The sequence below is a fragment of the Homo sapiens genome, chromosome X, assembly GCF_000001405.40.
Source record: "Homo sapiens chromosome X, GRCh38.p14 Primary Assembly".
NCBI classification, from domain to species: Eukaryota; Metazoa; Chordata; class Mammalia; order Primates; family Hominidae; genus Homo; species Homo sapiens.
The window spans coordinates 130,716,125-130,735,605 of NC_000023.11; the positions used below are offsets into that span (position 1 = coordinate 130,716,125).

Sequence of the window (19,481 nt, forward strand, 5' to 3'; positions counted from 1 at the left end):
ATTAAAAGTCATGGCAAAAATGGCAATTACTTTTGCACCAACCTAATAGGAGAGAATGTATTTACAACAAAAAAAGGACAAGATGGTTTATCTTTAACAAGTTCTTTACCAAGAACACTGCCAGAAAAAAACAGTGGGATTAATTTGTATTCTTCTCATCTGATTAATGCATTTTCTGAAAGTGCTACTGCTAATAAAATCCTAAAAAGATGTTCCAGTGTTACCCTCCACCACTGTACATACCCCCAACCTATCAGACCTGCTGCCAAAACCTATTTGCTTTTTTCCTCTAAAACCATGGATGACATTTGTATCTGTGCTCTCTCTCCTGATCCCCCCATCTGTGGTGGAGGAAAGCCAGAATTACTTAGTGTTGTAGCTCAATTATCCATGACAAGATTGGAAAGCAAGGGGGTAGGCAGGAGAAGAACCTGCTCTTCACAGACAGCTTTCTAACAAGACAAAGGCAGATTATGGCCACGGCTGTGACCTCCATGACAGCTGGGCACAGGACACCCGCTGTATCGGCATACTCCAGGAACAATACACATGCAAGTAAATTTGGTTGGCAGTTTGTGATTCTGGGACAGTATTAATAATAGTGCCTTTCCTGAAATCTATCCTGTATATGATATATTTTGCCACGTTTAATTCAATAGCTCTTCTGAATATTTTAATACAGCAACAGTAGTCCAAATAGCAAACACATGTGAGTTATTAACTTTCTTTTATCCATTTCTGCTGTAACTTAAATTTTCTTCCTGAGTGAATCTCCAGGCCACTAGTGACATCACCTTTAATCTATTTGTGTGGTGTGTGTGTGTGTTTATTGGCATTAACATGGAGGAGACATAAGCTGTTAAAAAATAAAAGGCGTCTAGGCTAGTGATGATCTCCAGAGTAAACCTTACAGGGATTGGCAGAGCAAATTTGATTTGAAAATGATTACAAAGGGTGAATTCCCTGTAAATAATGAATTGGAAAGAAAATCAGGCTGGGAGTATTTGCTTATCCACTTATTTCCACATGGAAGAAAAGCTGTAATTCCTGACAGCCTGTGCTTACAGTGTGACTAGATTGGCCAGAGAGAAACCAACGGGTGATAAAAATAAGTACACAACCCCACCAGTTCATTGCATTCTCTGTCAGTTCCAACACCAAGGAAAACCATAAAGATAATAAGTCTTTGGATAACAGCCCATAAATCCATGGTTACAGTTCAAGCACTTAACTTCAAATTCCCAAGTGACCATGCCACTGTTCTTATCTGTTAAAGAAGCTAGAAGTTCACTGTCAGAAAGGAGGTGAGGTGATGGGCAAGGCAGCTGAAATACTCAAAGACCCCAGCAAAATTCTGGGAAAGCATGCCCTCCTTGCAAATCACCACTTCTTGAGAAACTAACTCATATGTCACTGGGAGACACTGTCAGAGCCAACTGGCTAGGTTTCTACCAAAGTGCACCTAGTTTTCAAGAGTGGCTATCTTCCTTGAAAATGTAAAGCTAATTTCTGTATATCAAATCCTATTTTTTTCCACTGACTCACAGTGTCTTTTTCTAATTTTTAAAATTACATATTGAGTAGGTACACAGGAAAATTTATAAGATACAAGCGTAAAGTATAAACAACAACAATGCAATGAAATTTGTATGCCCAACATGCAGTTTAAGAAAAAGAATATCACTATTACCTTTAAAGTCCACCATGTACCCCTCCCTAATCGCTTCCATCTCCCCTGAAAGATAACCACCGTTTTCAATTTTGTGTTAATAATTCCTTGCTTATCTTTATAATTCTACTACATATGTTGATACCGTCTCTTCAAAAATGTTTTATCTTAATTTCTAAAGGATTCTTTAATTGCCAAGAGCTTTCTGTGCTGTTTTCTTTCATACTCCTGCCCCACCGTTTCCCTCTCCCTCCCCTCCCTCTCTTCCTCCTTCTCTCTCTCTTTCTCTATCTACCTTCCTTTCTGTGTCTCCCTCACCACCCCTCCTCCACTCAGCTAGAGGAGTAGTTAGTGATCTAGGAACAAACATGAATGCCAAAGATATCAGTTAGCAGTGAATCCGTATGTAAAGGCAGTAATTATTTTGTAACATGGTGACTTTCCTTTTGTTCTTTAAATGAATCCCTGCATGGGCCCTAATTCGTTTACCCAGAAGTTCAGAGGTGATTAGGGAATATGGAGGTGGCAGCAGGCTACAGAGCAGGGTGACGGAGCTGTGAGTATTGCCTAGCATGGGTACCTCAGGGGTCTGGAGCCAGAAGACCATGCTATTTGCTGGCTATGTAACTTAGGCGAGTCACTTAATATTTCTGGGCCTGGGTTCCTTCATCACAAAAAATGTAGAAAACAGTAATACTGATCTTACAGGGTTGATGAGATAAACAAGGGATATTAATTGGAAAAGTATTTTGAAAGCTATAAAATACTATATAAAGGTGAGTAAACGATGTTGCTGTTCTGCTGCTGTTGATGACATCAGTTCTATTAAAGTCAAGGTAAACAACTAAATGGTTATGAATTTTCTAAGTTTGGAGCTAATCCACAGATTTATCCTTGCCAGCTGCCTGGTAAAGCCAGCATATCACAGATAAAATTAAACCTTCTTTTCCGATGCTTTATTACTGGTCCATGTGGAAGCTTCCCCCCGCATCCCCCGACTTCAAACATCTTCCCCAAATCCCACTGTACCTGCCCAATCTGCATGTGAGGGAGTTGTGTTTGCTCTGGTCTACGTCAGTGCCGGAGCCCAGGGCAGAAAGTAGTCACACATTATAGGAATGCAACATTTTCTCTTCCTAATCATTTCTCATAGGACAGTGCAGGTTGGTAACTCAAATCGAAATGTATGCAAGATGTGCTCATCACCTGATCAGTTTGCGCCTGAGGAACCTTCTGAAGGTCCTGACTTTTGCCTGTGTGCTATTAACATAACCATTTGCATGTCATTTCCATTCTGTTTTTTAAAGGGTCTCTCCTTGAAGATCTATGAGAATGAGAGTAAGCAGTGGACAGCCACGTTTCCATTCTGCAAACGATATAACCAAATCTGTAAATGCGCAAAAATACACACAAGAGACGCTCCATAAAGCTGCTGGCAATTATTTTGGTGAACAGACGCAAGTTGTGCACAATTCCCCACAGCTGCCTCAGGTGTTGAAGGAAGAGATTCAAACAACAGAGGGGGAAATATTGATCATCTTTTTGAATATAGAGTTAGGCTACCTGCTTAGGTGCCCAGGAGGGGGTGTGAGAGAAAGAATGCTGGTAATGTTCCCACACGTTTCCCAGCTTGAGGCTGGACAGCCACATGCCCATCTGCTGCTAAGAAAAAAAAAAAAAAAAAAACCAGACAGGGCTTAAACACATACGAAAGGCTGTTTGACCTTTCAGGTTGTAAGGCTCTTGCCCTCCGCCTAACAGCTGACGCCTGGAACAAGCAGGCAAACCCCACATGGCCTCTGAAGGGGCTAGCATGGGGGCTCCAGCTGAGGGGCGGCTGCAGCTATGGCAACACATGCCTGGGAATGAGTTAACACCAGCCAAAGGGGTTAATGGAAGAGGCAAGAGCTTTTATACAAATGCATTAGGGAAAGAAATGCAATACAGTGGGAATGAGGTCCATTAATAAAGCTGAGTGATAAAATCCACGACCATTCTCAAATTGGACTTGGCAACTTAAACTCCTTTTCCAAATTAGGGTCCTGTGTTCTAGCTGCTCATGGGGATACTAAGCTTCTATCTTTAAAAAGAATAAAAACAATACTATAATATGCAGTTAAAAGGAGAAAATAGGATAGGCAAAAGGGTAAAAATTAGACTTGCAAACAAAGGAAGGAAGAGAAACAAAAGAGATGTGTACAACTATGTTCTGAATATGTTCAAACAGCTTGTTATTACTAACAATCACCACCTGACAATAAATTACCCCTCTACATGTGGATTAAAAGCTGCATTATTATGATGCATTAGAATCAATCTGAGTACTAACGATAATGGGTGGCTTGGTGGCTAAACATGGCCCCCAATTACTGCCAAGTGCCCTCTCCCTTTGTGGCTACAAAACAACTGTCATCAATATTCTCTCATAGAGAGTGTTTTCTTATCAGTATTACATCCTCAAACATCCTTGGAAAGCAGGTCGATATTGATGGGCTTTTCTGAGGAAAACAGGGAGGCATGGAGAGGTTAAGTGAAAATCAGCAGAGGCAGCCCTCCTGGCCCATCAAAGAATTTGGGTTATAAAGGGAGCTAAGGTAAGGAAGCAAAGGCCTTCAGCCTGCTCTTTCCATGATGGCAGCACCTATGGAATGCAATGGGTCAGGGTTTTTACTCACCCTCTCGGCTGTAGTGAAAAGCATATAATCCTTAAGCCACTGCATTTAGAAAATCTGATTGTAGCTTGCAGCACAGACCCACAGAAGACATGTTTACTTCTGGCAGAGTCCAATACAAGCTTAGAGTAAAAGCTTACTTCTGAGAAGAAAAAAAGAGTACATCTCAGTTCAGAAACAGTATAATCCACCAGGGGTAATATTTTCTAGTTACAAATGAACTAACAGATACTGACTGAGCCCCTGTTGTGCTATTTGTTAATGGCTGAGAGGGACACAGGAGAAGCAGAGGACTCTGAGAAGACTGAAGCTCTTTCCTCAGAGAGCTTAGCATCTACTTGTGGTTGGGTGTAGACAAATTCACACACAAAATAAAGACCAAACAAGCCTCTACAGAAGTCCCAAGTATAGAGCGACAAGTCTGGTTTGGCATACTGGTTAGAGGAAAAGATGGGATGTCGGCACATTCCCGCATGAATGTTACCAGTAAGACTTACACTGCCAAGCATATTAGACATTTCCATCAGCAGTAAATGCACTCACAACAGGGGTGACCAAGGGAGATGAACAGGAGGAAACTGAGGTAAATCAGAAGGACAGATGTCGTTAAAGGGAACCAGGAGGGAGGTGTCTGCCATTATCTGAATACGATCGTGTCATTTTTGAACCAAACTCCACCGACAGGGCCTGCTTCCCTGGGTACAGTGCTTTTCAGGCAAGTACTCTTGGTTGGCATGTCCCTATATACATCTAAGAACTAGAGGGCAACTGATTTAAGATTGAGTGCTCTAGTGAGCACACAGAAGGCAGATAATCTGTGTTGTGGGCTGAAGAGAGCGAGTCACATATTTTAGCTATTAAGACATACAAAGTGGTCAAGCTGTCATTCTGTTTCAGAAATTAAGGCATTTGACTTGTGTGCCTGTCCAGATGGAGTGTTATTCCACTCATAGTATATCTGCAGGGAGGGCTTGAACTTTCCTTCAAAAAGCATTTTGGATCATTTTAGCATCTTTGCTAGGGTTCACAGTGTCCCAGATGATGCCTTCTTGAGACAACTTCACTTCCCATTCTCCTCTGCTCCACAGCCACAGGTTACAGACCTCACTTTGCCTTGTCTTGCAAACATTACTGGCTATAGGAGACTCGGGCAGAGGGTGTGGATGGCTTTAGAGAACTCTACCACTGCACACACACACTGTCCTGGACACAGTGGGGCAGCACTGTTACTGTCACAGGTGAAACTGATCTTTGTAATGAGCAACAGCCTACAGAGCTTCTGGTGACGTACTTGTAAATTTCCCATTGTGAATAATAAAATTCAGAATTGCAAGCTGATTGCATTTCTTTCTATAGGACCTATTCTCTGGAACAGAAAATTGGCAATTGCTATCTCTTTTTCAGACATTTGAAAAAGACAACAATTATGCCTAAAGGAACTATCATGCTATAAGAAGTCTGTTTGTGATCCCAGCCCCTATAGATTCAAGGAATTTTAACCCTAATAATAATCTAGATGCGACTTTATAGTGTAAGAGTCCATCTTTGGATTTTTCCAGGAGTATAAATGGCACATTATTACATGACTGTTACTTGTAGAACTTGAACTGATAAGTATATCAGACACATACATCAGGAGCGCATGAACTCACAACAGGGTTGGTCAAAGGGGGTGAGCTGGAACGAGAGAGCCTGTGGTAAATTAGGAAGACAGATGAAGGTTAAAGGGAACCAGGATGGAGGTGTCTGCCATTATCTGAATATGAATATGTCTTTTTTCAGCCAAACTTCGGTGATAGGCCTTGCTTCCCCAGGGGCAGCATTTCTCAGAGAAGCAAGCTTAGAAGTCATTTGGGAAGAAATATTTCTTTATTCTGACATGAGCAGCTTGGTAGAAAAGATGAGCAGACATTTGCTTTGGGAGCAAGAGGTGCTAAGCTTAATGCCCATCATCTCCTAGAAATGGTGATGTATTGTATATACACATGGAATGTCTGCAGCTGCTTGCTATTTCCTGGAGGTCAGAGTACGCAACCTTTTATCTCTAAATATCTGGTTTTCAATCTGGCTGTATCTTGAAATCTGTCTTGAATACAGCTCAGAAAGGAAGGTTTTGGTTAAGCATGTAGTTACTAACCTTCAAGCACAACAGAATGCCAGGAGAGCAGCCTGACCTTTGCAGTAAAATTAATTTGATGCTTACAATCTAACCTAGAGTCCATAGCCTTTATTCATATGACAGAGTCACAGGACAATTTAGCGGGGATTATTAAATTCCACCTAAGCTCATCAGAGGAGAGAATTGAGGTTGATGCATATCTGGAATTACCAGTGAATTCGCCAAACCACGTGGGGAAAGGAAAGGCAGATAGACTTCTAGGAATAAAGATAAGGGGCTACACTTGGTATGTAGTAGGTACTCAATGAGAACTGATTCAGTGAATGAGGCAAAAGAGTAAGCTGAATCTGCTGTCTGACAACTAGAGAGACCCTTCCTTACACCCACAGGTGCAACTTCAATCCCTATGAGCTTCCCATACAGCGAAGTCACTTGGCAAGTGCCAGAGATCCCAAGGTGAGGATGGAGGGTGAGTGGGTTGGGTATGGTACAAGACATGCCATCCTTCTGCATTACCCTTCCCATTCCAGTTGGTGGTAGGAAGTCTGGGGCAGGACATTGTTATTCAGAAACAAAGAAAGCTAATGGATACCAATGAATCAGGAGGGATGCATTTTACTCGAAGTGGCTAAGAGAACCTCAACAGAAGAACTTTGTTGGGTTTCCAGAAAGCCTTTGCGACAGTACTACCAACTACAGCACTACCCAGGGGGAATCAGTGTTCCAGTCACTGCACTTAAACAAGCATGTTATACACAAAAGCCTAAGACTGTTTGCAGTGGGAAATCCTGGTTGGTTTTATTTAGGCAATATAGTAATGTAGCTTTCTGAATCTGATGTTCTTTATTTGAACATTCATTATGATGATTCATCTCTGCTTTTCTTTCTTTACCAATGATATTTGCATTCTACTAGGAAATATAATTCATAAAGGATGATAAAGGAATCAAAATTATCCAATTTATTTCCATCAAAGGAGCAGAAGGAATCCAGCAATGATCTGTTCTGCATCATTCTGTTTTCAGTACGTTTTTCTTTAAGTCAGGGTTTGTAGCATTAAATATTACTCTTCATTGCAGAATCAGTACTAATTTAACATCACAAGGATAATCTGGTTTTGTCTAAGGGACCCCTCCCCATTTTGTTTCCCAGGAACTGAACATTTTCCACTCCGGATGTTCTCTTGTACCATAGAAAGTATTCTGACTCTGTACCTCTCTAAGAGATACGTAGCACTAATGTGACTCTCTAAATGCCTATTAGCATTTTACCTTGTATTAATAGCTAACCGGGCACCCTTGCTATTTTCCCTGCTGAGATGTATCAATAAAAACTTTGATGGCAGGGATGACGCCTAATATACTGTCAAATTACCCGTCCCCCCGCAGGATATGGCATAGTGAATGTACAAATAGCCAACATAACTCTATCAGTTTTTGTCTTCTTCAATCTGCTGACAGTATTGTAACACCTGACAATAATTGCAGTTCACACTATTTGTTGGTATTTTTTAAAGTGGAAAGGCTTTCCTTAACTTTTATAAAAATTGTCCTCAAGTTAATCTTGCTAATGTCTTCCATACTAATTTTTTTCTTTTGCCAACTGAACTCAGCCTATATGAGAGCAATAAAATCTACTAGGGATCCTCTGGTGAGCTGGTTGATTCTGCCTATAAAAATGGCCTTAAGTCATAGAGATAATATCGGGGAATCAGGAATGATGTTCAAAATATTCAAACACCAGCATGGCATGGGCAACCAAACAGAACTGTATGCAAAACCTTAGTACTGGAGCAGAGCCTGGGAGACCCTCTTGCTGTGCCATGTGGGCATGTATGTCGGAGCGATGCTGTGAATCTCCAGCCACTATTTTCACTGTGGATTCCACAGGCATCAATCCTACCCATGGAGCCTGTGCTTTGCAAGGAAATCTCACAAGGGAAAGGACTTTGCTTTGTTAGAGAGCTCTTTATATTGCAGTTGAAGAGAGGTAAAGGAGTTGTTTCTGGGGTATTTCCTTGGAACTTGCAAATAAAGACTTGTGGTGGGTTCTGCCTCCAAGCTATTGGAAGAGACTGACTAGACAGTTACAGGCTTCTCCATTTTCATGCCTACTTCTGCCTCCTGCTAAGTTGCATCAGTTTCAAACACAAAGGTTAAGATGTGTTACCTGGGTTAAGATGTCTTAGCCAGGGGTCAATCCATGACTATTACACTGTGGGGAAGTCTAGGTGATACTAGAGGGATCAGGGTGGCCTGGGTGACAGGTGATCACTTAGAGGGCTCCTGACAGTGCTTATTTACCAACTGGTACAGAAGTTTTTCAGTATCTTTAAACTGGTATGACTGTCCAGTGCATATTGGCTGACTATCAGCCTGAAGAGACCTACTTTTCACCAGAACAGGCAGCAAAAGTAAGCAGATCCTCCTACCCATAGCTGCAGTCTCCTTAAAAAATCTGCCTCAGGGTTCAAGGAAATCTTTGTGATCCAAGTTATCTCTTATACTAACCCGAATGCAAAAACCTTTCCTATAGAAATATTAACATACTCCCCTTATTCTGTCTTCCCAGGGATATGAACTTCTAATCACTTTTTAATCTGTTAAACATGTTTTTTTTCTTTAAAGAAACTATTATTTAAAATTGCTTCCCAGTCATTTTTGAGCCTAAAAACAGGTCCCACTATCTATTGCTTTTCCAGTCCTTGCAATAATTGAGTCGAGCATGGATAGCTGAGAAGTAGAATGAGCAGCTCTCCTTGCTGTCTTCTGCTTGAGTGAAGAAAGCAAAAAATTTTGTAAAATGGCAGAGGCAGGATAACATGGAGCTCTCCCTTCAAACCATTAGAAGCAACAGAAATAAAAGTGCCATGTTTTTGTGCCCTTTAACAATCATTTTTTTATTCTAGTCCCATATCCGGGTCCCTGGGTGACAGACCTACCCCACCTCAACATGCATGGGCTGGCTGCATGTAGTTATCTTGTTCTCTTTCCACACCTGCACATGTCTATTCAATGGGGCTGTGTTACAATCAATAGCAAATACTTATCTGCTGGGAGACTGACTGAGTTCCAAGACCTTGGTTCACGTAAGGCTGTCTTTGCCATCTAGTGTTAAGTTTTGTTTGCAGGATTACTAGTGAAATTTCTCAGGAAGCTGGATAGGACATATGGGAAACTGCCAAGGTGAGTAATTCCTGCATCTCTAGAGGTGATAGCTACAGCAACAGTAGCTTATTGTGAGTAGACACCAGTTGCAAAGCTCCTTAGGCACAGGCTGGGTAAAGGGGTGAACTGGAATAATAATTTCTGTCTAGATGGAATGTCTAAGCAACAACATTGAGCATGAAGTGTTCATCATACCCTAGTGCTGGGAAGTCAAATCCTAGATTCTTGCTTAGTGATAACATCATTTGACAAAGTAGGAATTCACACAAATATATGTTTAAAAGAAAAGACCAGGAACATCGTATATACCTTACTGTCTGGAGTATCTCTCAGGTTGGACGCTAGACAAACAAAAGAACTTGGAATACACATGAACAAACAGTTTCAGATGGCATGTTACATAGTAGCTCAGAGGCAGAACCCACAAGTCTTTATTTGCGAGTTCCAAGGAAACATCCCAGGAACAACTCCTTTACCTCTCTTCAAGTGCAATATAAAGAGCTCTCCAACAAAGCAAAGCCCTTTCCCTTATGAGATTTCCTTGTAAAGCAGAGGCTCCATGGGTAGGATTGATGACAATGGAATCCACAGTGAAAGTAATGGCTGGGGATACACAGTATCACCCTGATATGCATGCCCAGTGGAAGAGACTGACCAGACAGTTACAGGCTTCTTCAATTTTCACGCATACTGCTGCTTCCTGCTAAGTTGCATCAGTTTCAAATACAAAGGTTAAGATGTCTTACCTGGGGATTTCACTTATGCAATAGATGAGCCAAACATATATACGAGTACAAATGGCTGCTTGTGAAGTACCTGAAGTTTTTCCGATAAAGGAGGAATTTGGATGTGTTACTTGGCCTGCACTCTGCCAGGGGCATATCGTGCTGACATTAGAAAAACATGCTCTTTTCAACAAGATTTAGTCTCACTTCCCTTTGCCTCCTGGTCTCTTGCTAATGACTGGAAGTAGAATGAGAGTTCGATTTTACGATGATTTAGAGGTCTGTGAGTTGGCTTTCTCCCTTTGGTATGTGACCAACTTCAAAGAAGCAATTGTGTAACTACTAAGGAAATTAGTTCTCTTCCAAGGGATAGAGATCTTTTGTCATAAGTGAGAATGAGTAACTAAGCTCTCTGACTCTTTCTCAAGAGGGCCCCTGGGCTGAAGAGGGCCTGGCTCGTGGTCTAGGTTTGCTCACTGGAGCAGCAGGCAGTCAGATGGTCAAAAAATATTGCTTGTATTCCTTTTGTAGGCAGAAGCACTGGAGTAGGGAGGTGAGGCTGGGTGAAGGGAAGACAACAGGAATAAGACAGTAAGTAAATGAACAGATGTAAAGTATATAGCACAATGCCTAATGGGCATACCTCTTTATATAGCTTCCACTTTTTGAACACCTCCTCTGTGTTAACTACTAAAATAAGCACTATGCATTTAATCCTCACAACAACATTATGAGACAGGTATTACTAATATTCTTATTTTATGGGGGAGCAAACCGAGCCACAGAAGTTTAAGTAAATTGCTCAGAGGCTTCAGAAATAGTAAAAGATGGGGTCAAGATTTGAAGTCAGATTTCTTTCTTTTGGCCCTAGGTATCAGGCTTTGTGTTTGATATATTACTAACGCCAAATCCTCATACCATTCTTGAGTTGTGGGTGTGATTATCTCCAATTACAGTTGAAGAGATGAAGGTTCAACGTGATTAAGCAACTTGTCCAAGATCATACAGGCAGTAAGTGGTAGAATGAGAATTCTAATCCAAGCCTGACCCCAAAGCCCATGCTCTTAACCACAAAACTCTGTGACCTCTTTTGCAATCTGACATATTTTAGACAGTCTTCAAATGTTTGTCCCCATCTCAAATGGTACAGTGAAGGTAGATGGAAGACAAAGAGTTGAAGGTAACTTAGACTCGGTAGTCAGAGCAGGAAAGGTTGCAGAGTTGAGCTGGAATCACATCTTCTGTTTTCTCTTGGGGCTGGTGTTGAGCAGGATGTAGTTAGAGGTGATAAAAGACAATGAGGCAAGAAGCAACTGATTTCTATCCCCTCATCTCCAAATTATAAGAGGAAGAGAGATCACTCAGAATACGAGCTAGGGCTAGGCAATAACACTATTAGAGAGTTACTATTACCTGAGGACTATTACCTGAGCTATGTAGGTGTGCTAGTTATCAATCTAATACCTCTTAGCTCCAAATTCACCCTTGTTGCCTGCTCTGTGAAAATGGTTCTGGGCCCTTTATATATTTTTCCTTTGCCAGCTGGCACAATGTTAAGCTTTGTCAGTAGAGGGCGTTAGGGAGACATTTCAGGAGGAAGGGGCTTTTCTTTGTGGGTCCTGTGTGCTGGTGTGCTAGGTGTGCTCACTTGGCAGGTTCCTGTAGTTCAGGCTTTCAGCTTCCCCAGGGCCCAGTTCCCACAGCACACACAGCTCCCCAAGCACCAGGTTCCTGCAGCATGTGCAATTTTTCAAGCATGCAGCTCTGGTAGTATAATCAGCAGTGCCCAGCAGCTTCTCCCAGTACCCATCCCTCAGGATGTTTCATGGTGGGGTGCCTATTGTGAGATACCTCTCTGTGACCAGCTTTCCCTGACACTATAGAGGGTGGATTTCCCAGAAGTTCCACAGGGCAGAATTCCAGCAAGTTCTGCTGATGTAGTACCACAGCAATTTCTCTGCTATTTAATGAGTCATGACTGTGCCCTTGTCCTGCAAGATATGGATCTCAGCCCTGGGGAAAAGGTTCTCTCCTGGGTGCCCTAGTTCAGCTCTAGGTGTAGGGGCTGCTCCTTATATTTGTTAGTCCTATATTCTTTGTAGTTGTTTTTACTTCTTACTGGCCAATCCCCTGTTATAGTTAATATTTATATTAAAATTTTTCTGTTCAAATTACTGTGTGATTTCTCTCTCCTGATGTTTTCCAGACATATAGGGTTAATTCCTCTTCCTGCATCTCAACATTCTGTAAGGTGATGACTAGGGCAAAGGGATACTTCTAGGGATACCTACATTCGTAGGTAGGGAGGATGGACTTTTCCTAGAGACAAGGTCCAAAGAGAAAAGAGCATTTTCTTTTTCAGGAGGTAAAAGATGACTTCTCTGTCTTGCTTTTTAATATACAAAAATGAGTTAGAACACGTGTGGCCTTTCACTTGCTCAATTTTTTTCAATGAGGAGGAAAGAACCTGTTAGATAGGAAAGGAAACTGAAGTCTGTGGACTGCGTGGATTGTGAGACTCAAAGGACTCATGATCATTCAGAGTTTAAACAGTGCTTAAAGCTCTATAGCCCAGGTATTCCAAGGGGGAAGTGACTACTTGTGATGATAGCCTTCAAATGACTACCATCTTTAATATAATGACCAATATTGTACTCAATACCTCTATGACTACCCATACAACCCTTACTCAAAGCTCAAGGTTATATCCCCTCCTCTGCAAGAGATCAAATGTTTTCTTTGCTTAAAATTTTGCTTTTCCATGGACATATGTATAGAAATTTTCAGACATCATAAAATTCATGAATTCTGGAAAAAGCTTCTGAATCCTCAGGGTAGAAGTTTGGGGTTTAGAGTTTGCACATCAGGATGTTTTCCAAATATCACTAAGAGAAATGATTTTCACAAGTGCAGAATACCATCATAATTTTTATATTACTCATGGATTTATGCAGCTGAGTTCCTTTTGAATTTGAGTAAAATATTTTCCAAAACACTTGTTGTTAATTAACTACTACCTTTCTACCGTGACTATTTTTTTTGCTTCCTGCCTCCAACCAGCTCAAAGTATAATACTGTCTCTCCAAAGCTCAATGACTAAGAAATGGAAGGCAAGTAGTTAAATAGGAGATAATATGGAAACGTAAATTTCAAGGTCTGATCATCAACTAAAATGCTCCCTATCATAATACAAATTCATCTTTGTGATATTTATGAAGCATTGGCTCACAACAAATTCAGAAATACTAAAAGCGTCACAGCTAATCAGATGGCCTGCTCAATCACTAGAAAGTTTCTAACATACACTTCCCATGTGCTAGAACCCTCATAGCAATAACAACAGCATTGGAGGCCATAGCAGCTTTCGATAAAGAATGTTTAGCCAAAGTGGCCTGGAATACCTATGGTCTTTGAGAGGCTTCCACGTGGTCCTCCAGATCATCCAAGGTATTGTGTGTTCATGTGTGGGTGAAGGTCCCAATCAACACAGGTGAAAGAGAGAAGTCTGAGCCACAGGGTACGATTCTCCTGCTAGAAAACCAGTCAATTAAAGTTTCAGAAAATCGGTCCAACTATAGTCTCTGTTTCCCTTCCTGTGTTTGCTCCTCCAAATTTTGGTTCTGGCCCAAGTTCTTAGATGCCTTCACTAGCCTTCCCTTTGTCACTCTGTCCTCCACATATACGCACATGTATATACACAGAGGGATCATATAACCAAGAATAGAATGGGAAAAGGAGCATTGTTTCAGAGCAGTCTGATGTTTTATACTGCAGTAGCTGGTGGGGACAGGTGGAAGTGACATGTAGAAATTTGTTGCTCCAGTTAGAACTTCCTAAAGAATAAGAAGACCATTGATATTAACCAGGAGTTGCTGTGAACCAATGCAGACCTGCCTTCATGTTCAGAACAGAAACCAGTCCTATGTTGCTGCCATTATAATGATTGTAGATTAGAGCACTAGTTTTTACCCAGGGTGGTTGGATGGTCTGGCACATAAAGAACTGGTACTGACAGGAGGAGAAGCCTAGTGTTTAAGATGGGCCTGTAAATCAAAAAGCATCTGAGACAAGTCTCAATCAATTTAGAAAGATCCTTTGCCAAGGTTAAGGATGCACCTGTGACACAGCTTCAGGAGGTCCTGATGGCATGTGCTGAAGGTGGTCAGGGAACAGCTTGCTTTTATACATTTTAGGGAGACATAATACATCAATCAATACATGCAAGATTGACATTGGTTTGATCTGGAAGGGCAGGACAACTCGAAGTGGTGGGGGGCAGAGGGTGGGATGGGGGGAATGGGGGGCTTCCAGGTCACAGGTAGATTTAAATATATTCTGATTGGCAATTGGTTGAAAAAGTTATCAATAGAAAGGAATGTCTGGGTTATGATAAGGAGTTGTGGAGACCTAGGTTAGAGAGAATAGACTGTAACTGTTTCTTATCAGACTTAAGGTCTGTGTTGATGTTAATGCTGGAGGGGTATAATGAGGCATGTCCAACCCCTACTACTGTCATGGCCTGAACCTGTATTTCAGGTTAAATTTTAGGGTGCCCTGGCTGAGGAGGGATACATTCAGATGGTTGAAGGGGGCACTGGAATTTTATTTTTGGTTTACAGGCCTAAGGATCAAGACCTGGGTTTGATTATCAGATTCCCCCTATCAATGAGCAAGGTACTTAATCTCTCTGAATTAGTTTTCTCATGTGCCAAATGGTAATAATAGTATGTGCATTATAGAATGTTTTAAGGACTAAGTAAAATAAGGTGCATAAAGTTTACGGTACATAGCAAAAACTCCATATGTGTTAGCTATTATTATTTCTATAGTTTTATTTATAAAAGGCATAAAGCCATAACATCTTCTGTTGCCTTATTCTCTTTTGCTAGTTTTGGAGATGTGGATAGAGGAGGTGTTGCCAGGGGTAACAAAAGATGGGAGCCATACAAATAGTCTCAATTGATTTTTGACAAAGGTGCAAAACCAATTCAATAGTTTTTAACAAAATATTACTGGAGCAACTGGACATCCACAGTTGGGAAAAGGAGGAGGAGAAACTTGATCTAAGTCATACTCAAAATGAAACACAGTATCCCTGAAGAATACAGATGCAAAAAATTTCAACAAATTTAACAAATACTAATGAACCAAATTCAACGGAATTCTATTAAAAAGATCACACATCATGATCAAATGGGATTTATCCCTAGGATACAAGGATGGTTCAACATACAAAAAATAATTAATATGACATTGAGAGAATAAGAATAAAAATCACATGATTGTCTTAATGGGTGCAGAAAAAGTATCTGATAAAATTCAACACCCTTTTTTGATAAAAACTCTCAACAAACTGGAAATAGAAGGAAAGGACCTCAGCATAATAAAGGTCATATGTGACAAGCCCACAACTATATCACACTCAATAGTGAAAAACTGAAAGCTTTTCCTCCTAAGATCAGGAAGAAGGTAAAGAGGCCCACTTTCACCACTTCTATTCAACATACTACTGGAAATACTAGCCAGAGCAATTAGGCAAGAAAACGAAATAAGCATCCAAATAGGAAAGCAAAAGGTAAATTATCCCTGTTTCCACAGGACATGATTTTATATATAGAAAATCCCAAAGACTCCATTAAGAAAATGGTTAGAACTAATAAACAAATATAGTAAAATTGCAGGAAACGAAATCAATATAGAAAAATCAGTTGCATTTCTATACACTAACACTGAACTATCTGAAAGAGAAATTATGAAAACAATTCCTATTAATAATAGCACGAAGGAGAATAAAATACTTAGTAATAAACCTAAATAAAGAGGTAAAAGACTTGCATAATGAAAACTACAAAACATTGACAAAAGTAATTAAAGAAGACACAAACAAATGAAAAGACATTCCATGTTCATGGATTGAAGACTTAATATTGTTAAGATGTTCATACTACCCAAAGAGATCTACAGATTCAATGCAAGCCCTATCAAAACCCCAGTGACATTTTATTTTCACAGAAATAGGAAGAACAATTTTGCAATTCATAGGGAAATCCATAAGATCACAAATAGCCAAATCAATATTGAGAAAGAAGAAAGCTGGAAGCATCACATTTCCTGATTTAAAAACTATTACAAAGTCGAAGTAATCAAAACAGTATGGTACTGGCTTAAAGATAGATATGTAGACCAATGGCACAGAATGGAGATCCCAGAAATAAATCCATTCACACACACACACACACACACACACACACGTACAGTTAATTGATCTTCAACAAGAGCACCAAAAATACGCAACAGGGAAAGTACAGTCTCTTTAACAAACAGTGCTGGAAGAACTGGATATCCACATGCAAAAGAGTACAATTGGACACTTATTTTACACCATACACAAAAATCAACTAAAAATGAATTAGACTTAAATGTAGGACCTGAAATGTAAAACTCCTAGATGAAAACAGGGGGAAAGCTTCTTGACATTCGACTAGGCAATGATTTCATGTATATGACACCAAAGCACGTGTAACAAAACAAATATAAACAAGTGGGTCTACATCAAACTAAAAAGTTTCTGTACAGCAAAGGAAAAACTCAACAGACTGAAAAGTCAACCTATGGAATAGGATAAAATATTTATAAATCATATATCTGACAAAGGGTTAATCTCTAAAATATATAAGGAACTCCTACAACTCAATAACAAAGAAACTTAACAGCCTAATTTTAAAAACAAGTTAAGGACTTGAACAGACATTTCTCCAAAGAAGACACACAAATGGCCAATAGCTATGTGAAAAAAATGCTCAACATCACTAATCATTAGGGAAATGCAAATCAAAACCATAATGAGAGATCAATATATACCTGTTAGAATGGCTTTTTTTTTTTTTTAAAGTGACAACACCAAATGCTGGCTAGGATTCTGGAAAAGTTTGGCTGTTTCTTAAAGAAATATGTAACTACCAAATGACCCCACAATTACACTCCTGAACATTTATCCCAGAGAAATGAAGACTTAAGTTCACACAAAAACTTGTACATAAATGTATATAACTTTATTTATAATAGCAAAAAACTGGGAGAATCCCGATGCTCTCAACAGGTGAATGGTAAAACTGTGGCAAGCCCTACAATGGAATACTCAATCAACTATGGATACACACGATTATTCAAATGAATTTCAAGGGAATTATGCTGAGTGAAAAAAGCCAATCCAGAAAGATTACATATTGTATGATTCCATTTATATAACATTCTCAAAATGTCAAAATTATAGAAATGGAGTACACATTAGTAGTTGGTGGAAGGCAGGAGGGAGGTGGGCAATATGAGAAACGGAATTGTTCTGCGTCTTCACTATATCCATGTCAATATCCTGGATGTGATATTATACTACAGTTTTGTAAAACGTTACTGGGTAAAGGATATATGGGACCTCTCCGAATTATTTCTTACAACTGCATGTGAATCTTCAGTTATCTCAAAATTTCAAAAATTTAATTTTTAAAAAAGGAAAAGAAAAAAGATGTGGATAGACAGAAGGAGCAGACTGAAAATAGTCTCTGCCATTTGCAATACAGTTCAGATAGGTGTCCCAGATTATAGCAGGATTTCTAGCTTGGCAGGCGAATCCACTGTACTGCAGAGATCCCTCTGGTGCAGGAAAGCAAGGCAGAGTTTTCCTGCAGAGCCAGCACTTGCTCCTCTCACCGGGATATTAGTTATTGCTCTTACAAATTTGGAAGCTGAGAGGTGTGTCACAATTAATGAAGGTTAGGAGGCTCTGGGTTAGAGTCAGAACTACTAAAGTTCCTGAAAGTCCTCCAAGCAGCTCTGTTGCTGAGATCTAGGCTGCTGGTGCAGAAGCCTCCTCGGAAGTAATTTAAGCAGAGTGGATCTCAGGGGTAATAGGAGTATTCTTTTGCTTGGCCTCTGAAGGAGACGAGGGCAGGCCATATGACAGCTCTCTGTATGGAGACAGCACGGAAAAGTAAAAGAGAGGGCTGCGAGTTGTAGAGGAGAAAAAACTGAGAAATCATAAGCTTGACAAGGGAGAAAGCAGAAATTTCTCTGCCTCCATGTGTCTGGGTAATTGGGCATCAATTTACCTATCACGATGCCATGCAGTACTACAGGCAACTTGGAAGAAAAGTGTTGGGTAAAGAACAACTGAGTGTTGACATCTCATTTTTAAAGGCAAACTGTTCACACACAAATGATTGCACAGAATATTAAAGACCAGCCTTCTTTTCCATCTGGATGATGGATCTATAAGGAGAATGCATTCATACCACTGGCAGAGTATTTTCAAATAGATACAATCATCTTTCTTGCTGCTCTCTTCTCTTCTGTGATATCATTAAACATTTGATTAACACTGACTTTCAGGCCTTCCCAAACACTGGCTCCCTGTTTACCAAAACCACTGAAAAATGCCCAGGCTGACCACTGGCAATCAATAGAGTTCCTTGGGGTTAGGTGAACATCCAATGTGTCTGAATTGAGACATTCAAAGGTGAATTGACAATCCTACTTATGTGAATGCCTGCTGCAGCTTTTGGGAACTGGCTGTCTCACAGGAGCAGTGCAGGGACATCACCACCTCTGTGCTCATTTTCCATCTTCCCTAATGCTCCAGAGGCATGGAGGAGAATCTTGGGTTTCCAAGTACATTTTGTGTTCAGCCCATTTCCACAGGGCATAGCACCTTCCTGCTGTTTCCACCTTCTCTTCTGGCTGCCAGCTCTATTATCTCCATCAGAAATTTGATCCTGTTAGAAGTGCTGTGGGGTATTTTTGTCTATTTTTTAAATAGAGCCTTCCAGTTTCCTTTGGGCCATTATGTTCTCCTAAAGCAGTGCTTTGTCTTCAGTCATTAATATTTAATGTGACTAGAAGCTTTCACAAAAACCTATTGAGATGCACATGCTTTAGGTGGCAAAGCTGTTATTTAATGATGTTGGCTGGGTATACTAATTCAACCTACCCATGAGGGAAGGTGACCTCCTGGTCCCTCTGGTTCTGTGTCTATATTAATAAAATGGAAACCTCTTGCCATTTATGAAAATATCTGTTCACCATAGAAGAGAGGAGGACTATAAGATTTTTTTCTGACATAATAAAAGTAACTGA

The 19,481-nt window shown here is 40.3% G+C and overlaps 1 protein-coding gene across 19 annotated transcripts in view, besides 1 other annotated feature; it reads right to left on the reverse strand.

Moving 5' to 3' along the window:
• Positions 1–19,481, reverse strand: part of ENOX2 (ecto-NOX disulfide-thiol exchanger 2) — a 280,885-nt gene that overhangs the window by 93,800 nt on the left and 167,604 nt on the right. Inside the window, exon 1 of one of the 19 annotated variants that reach the window (XM_047441772.1) lies at positions 13,754–13,776. The exons of 17 other annotated variants lie outside the window; for them this stretch is intronic. The gene's annotated coding sequence lies outside the window, so the exon portion shown is untranslated. Of the gene's footprint in view, positions 1–4,344; positions 4,368–13,753; positions 13,777–19,481 lie in introns of those variants that run through there. One more of the 19 variants, XM_047441773.1, reaches the window with a different exon arrangement.
• Positions 2,913–3,414: an enhancer, noted in NCBI's record as "H3K4me1 hESC enhancer chrX:129853011-129853512 (GRCh37/hg19 assembly coordinates)". NCBI's record gives its function as "activates a minimal SCP1, AML or CMV promoter by ChIP-STARR-seq in naive H9 embryonic stem cells {active_cell/tissue: H9 hESC(naive)}" and the evidence as "EXISTENCE:reporter gene assay evidence [ECO:0000049][PMID:30033119]".